A 5,037-nucleotide genomic window follows, 5' to 3' on the forward strand; every position below is an offset into this window, starting at 1 on the left:
GGTTAAAAAAAAAAAAAAAAAGCTGGCCGGGCGTGGTGGCTCACGCCTGTGATCCCAACACTTTTGGGAGGCTGAGACAGGAGGAACACTTGAGCTCGGGAGTTCGAGACCAGCCTGAGCAATAGAGCAAGACTCTTGTCAATTAAAAATAATAAATAAAGCCAGGCATGGTGGCTCACGCCTATAATCCCAACACTTTGGGAGCCCAAGGCGGACGGATCACAAGGTCAAGAGATCGAGACCATCCTGGCTAACACAGTGAAACTCCGTCTCTACTAAAAATACAAAAAATTAGCTGGACATGGTGGCGGGCACCTGTAGTCCCAGCTACTCAGGAGGCTGAGGCAGGAGAATGGCATGAACCCGGGAGGCGGAGCTTGCAGTGAGCCAAGATTGTGCCACCGCCCTCCAGCCTGAGCAACAGAGCAAGACTCCATCTCAAAAAAATAAAATAATAAATAAGAGGCAAAATGTTAAAAATAAGCAAGGACTGGGCACAGTGGCTCATGCCTGTAATCCCGGTACTTTCGGAAGCCAAAATTGGAGGATCCTTTAAGGCCAAGAGTTCAAGATCAGCCTGGGCAACATAGCGAGATCCCCTGTCTCTACAAAATAATAAAAAAATAGCCACTGTTTTAGTCCCTTCTCATGCTACTAATAAAGACCTACCTGAGACTGGGTAATTTATAAAGGAGGAAAGGTTTAATCGACCCACAGTTCAGCACGGCTGGGGAGGCCTCATGAAACTTACAATCATGGCAGAAGGGGAAGCAAACACATCTTGTGATGGCAGGAAGAAGAAGTTCCAAGCAAAAGGGGAAAGTTCCTTATAAAACCATTAGATCTCATGAGAACTCACTATCACGAGAATAGCATGGGGGTAACTGCCCCCATGATTCAATTACCTCGCACCCAGTCCCTCCCACGACACATGGGGATTATCAGAACTACAATTCGAGATGAGATTTGGGTGGAAACACAGCCAAACCATATCAGCCAGGCATAATGGCATGCACCTGTAGTCCTAGCTACTGGGGAGGCTGAGGCAGGAGGATTGCTTAAGCCTAGGAGATCAAGACTGCAGTGAGCTCTGATTGCACCTCTGCACTCCAGCCTCGGCAACAGAGCATTATCCCATCCCCCCACAAAAAAAAAGAAAAAAAGAAAAGACATGGGCTTGAGGTTGGAGAGGACCGGGTTTCCCAGTGCTGCCACCTTCTCCCAGGGCCTCTATTGACTCTGTCTCTGCGCCCCCACCTTGCATTTGGGAAGTGGAAGCAATGAGATCGCTCCTCCCACAGGAGTGTGTTCGCGGTAAAGGGGCCCAGAGTCTGGCTGGGTTTGAATCCTGGCTTGGCCACTTGGTTTCTTTGTACTCTCAGACAAGTCGCTGCCTCTCTGAACCTGTAAACTGGGGAGATTGGTAATATTTCACAATTGTACATTCCTGGGAGGAGGAGGCTTCATAGACCAGCAAGAGAAGATTACTGTTTGGCCGAGTCTCCTGAGGCTCAGACATCCAAAGCCTGACTTCTTGTAACCCAACCCCTGCTTTTAACCACTGAACCCAAAAATGGTTCACAAAGAGACTTGGCAGGTCCACAGGGAGGATTCTGGAATGCATGGGGATGATTTGCATTATCATCATGACTGGAAGCTGCTCTTGGCTCTTGGCAGACGTGGTCCAGGGATGCAGATGTCTTGTAATATTCAGGAATCTCCACACAGTACAGCATCATCCCTTGTCTCATGCAGCTTCCAGATGTCTCATTGGACATTCACGAAGGAAGGGTAATATTCAAAATGTTTTGCCACTGGTACTGTAATATAAATTAGTATATGTCAATGTATGCATCAAATTTTTAAAATATTTTAGGCCAGGCATAGTGTAATCCCAGCACCTTGGGAGGCCAAGACAGGAGGATGGCTTGAAGCCAGGAATTCGAGACCAGCCTGGGCAACATAGAGAGACCCTCATCTCTACAAAACATTTCAAAAATTGAGCAGGGCGTGGTGGTTTACACCATTAATCCCAGCACTTTGGAAGGCCGAGGCAGGTGAATTGCTTGAGCCCAGGAGTTCAAGACCAGACTAGGGGCCAGGCGGGGTGGCTCATGCCTGTAATCCCACCACTTTGGGAGGCTGAGGCGGGCAGATCACTTGAAGCCAGGAGTTCAAGACCAGCCTGGCCAACAAGGCAAAACCATGTCTCTACTAAAAATACAGCAATTAGCTGGGCGTGGTGGTGCACCCCTGCAGTCCCAGCTACTCAGGATGCTGAGGTGGGAGGATCACCTGAGCCCAGGAGGTCAAGGCTACAGTGAGCCATGATCATGTCACTGCATTCCAGCTTGGGCAACAGAGTGAGACCCTGTCTCAAAAAAACAAAAATCCTTATTATCACCTAAGTTATGATATGACAAAGATCTGTCACAATTAACTTGAACTAATTCATTTTTATTCAAATATGTATTGAATTTCAGTGCTTTCTCAACTACTCTTGTACTATTATTATCCAGTCAGAAGTATTTCAGTATTTTAACAACCAGTATTGGCCAAGTATGGTGACTCACGCCTGTAATCCTAGCACTTTGGGAGGCCGAGGTGGGTGGATCACAAGGTCAGGAGTTCAAGACCAGCCTGGCCAATATGGTGAAACCCTGTCTCTACTAAAAATACAAAAACTAGCCGGGCATGGTGGTGGGCGCCTGTAGTCCCAGCTACTCAGGAGGCTGAGGCAGGAGAATCGCTTGAACCCAGGAGGCGGAGGTTGCAGTGAGCCAAGATCATGCCACTGCACTCCAGCCTGGGTGACAGAGCGAGACTCTGTCTCAAAAACAAACAAGAAAGAACAGTATTTCCATACTAGTTCAGACCAACTAAATTTTAGCCTTACTTGGAGGTGAAAACCCTGGCCAAAAATCTCTCTCTTGTACGTACAAAGTCCTTTTTGTTTTTAAATAGCCTCGGAATCTTCCAGGAAGTGCAACTACCACAAAAAATGAGGGAAGCTTGTATCGTGTTTTGTTCAAAACTTGGCCAAAGGTTGTCCACCATGTGAAAAAACTCACATTGCACATGGCTCTTGGTAATTGGACACCAGTCCACGTGTTTTCAATGTGTTGGAACTGTCTATATTACAGGCATAAACATCTGCCTACCTCCTTGGGTTCTAGGGGACTGGCTCCACACATCCGCATAATGAAATGCTTATTGTAAGTTACTATGTTCTTATTTCTCCTTTTTATTACATTTAGGGCAATCAAGGATCGTTTTTGTTGCTGCTGCTGTTGTTGTTGTTTCTGAGACAGGGTCTCACTCTGTCACCCAGGCTGCAGTGCAGTGGCACAGTCTTGGCTCACTGCAGCCTCAACTTCCCAGGCTCAGGCGATTCTCCCACCTCAGCCTCCCGAGTAGCTGGGACTACAGATAAGTACTACCACACCCAGCTTTTATATATATATATATATAAATATATTTATATATATAATGTCTCTACTAAAAATACAAAAATTAGCTAGGTGCGGTGTCGCACGCCTGTAATGCCAGCAGTTTGGGAGGCCAAGGCGGATGGATTACTTGAGGTCAGGAGTTCGAGACCAGCCTGGCCAACATGGTGAAACCCCATCTCTACTAAAAATACGTGTGTGTGTGTGTGTGTGTGTGTGTGTGTGTGTATTTTAAGTAGAGATGGGGTTTCACCATGTTGCTCAGGCTGGTCTCAAATTCCTGGACTCGAGTGATCTGCCCACCTTGGCCTCCCAAAGTAGGATTTTCTTAAATCATGTTAAATCATGTGCCAGTGGGTTATACTGTCTATGAACTTCATTTCAGGAGAACAGAGAGAACTTTCCCAGAACTGACATTCAAGCCAGCACACGCCCTGGTATGGCCACGCCAGTGGTTAAGACAGCAAAACACTAAATTATGGATTATTTACTCATTCATAAACGGTCACTGCCATGAACCCCCTGACTATTAGTATCCTCCTAGCTCTCCCTGGGGATCCCCTGGGCTGCCCTCTGGCCCAGAAGTCCAGGGGTTAAACTGGGTATAGTGGGAGATAAGAGGGACCCATATCCCGGATGTTGGATGGACTGATGACTTTGCCAAGCAGTAAATATTTTGTCTATCAGCCCTACATGTTACAAAATATTTGCTATGAACAATAGTGGCATGTAAAGACCTGTCTACATTAGCCAGGTGTGGTGGCTAATGCCTGTAATCCCAACGCTTTGGAAGACCAAGGCTGGAGGATCACATGAGCCCAGGAGGTGGAGGCCACCCAGGGTAATATGTTGAGACCCTGTCTCTACCAAAAAAATTTAGGAGGGGCGAGTGGCTCATGCCTGTAATCCCAGCACTTTGGGAGGCTGAGGCGGGCAGATCACTTGAGGTCAGGAGTTTGAGACCAGCCCAGTCAACATGGTGAAACCACGTCTCTACTAAAAATACAAAAATTAGCCAGGTGTGGCGGCTCACACCTGTAATCCCAGCACTTTGGGAGGCCGAAGAGGGCGGATTACTTGAGGTCAGGAGTTCAAGACCAGCCTGAACAACATGGTGAAACCCCATCCCTACTAAAAATACAAAAATTAGCCGGGCGTGATGGTGGGTGCCTGTAATCCCAGCTACTCAGGAAGCTGAGGCAGGAGAATTGCTTGAACCTGGGAGGTGGAGGTTGCAGTGAGCCGAGATTGCACCACTGCACTCCAGCCTGGGCAACAGAGCAAGATTCTGTCTCAAAAATAAAATAAGGTAAATAAAAAATAAAAAACCTGTCTACAAATGCACCTTTATGCACAATAGCCCCAACCTGGAAACCATCAGATGTAAATCAACAGGTGGGTGGATAAGCAAACTGTGGTACACTCAGACAACATAATACTCCTTAGCAAGTTTTTTAAAAAAGGAAAGAACTGGGCCGGACGTGGTGGCTCACGCCTGTAATCCCAGCACTTTGGGAGGTCGAGGCGGGCCGATCACCTGAGGTCGGGAGTTCAAGACCAGCCTGACCAACATGGCAAAACCCTGTCT

At 47.3% G+C, this 5,037-nt stretch overlaps 1 annotated feature.

Annotated features, from left to right (window-relative positions):
- Window positions 2,877-3,171: a silencer, noted in NCBI's record as "tiled region #2893; HepG2 Repressive DNase matched - State 7:EnhWF, and K562 Repressive non-DNase unmatched - State 6:EnhF". NCBI's record gives its function as "represses a minimal TATA promoter and a strong SV40 promoter by Sharpr-MPRA in HepG2 and K562 cells {active_cell/tissue: HepG2 | K562}" and the evidence as "EXISTENCE:reporter gene assay evidence [ECO:0000049][PMID:27701403]".

Source organism: Homo sapiens, chromosome 19 (assembly GCF_000001405.40).
Source record: "Homo sapiens chromosome 19, GRCh38.p14 Primary Assembly".
In the NCBI taxonomy this organism is placed as follows: Eukaryota; Metazoa; Chordata; class Mammalia; order Primates; family Hominidae; genus Homo; species Homo sapiens.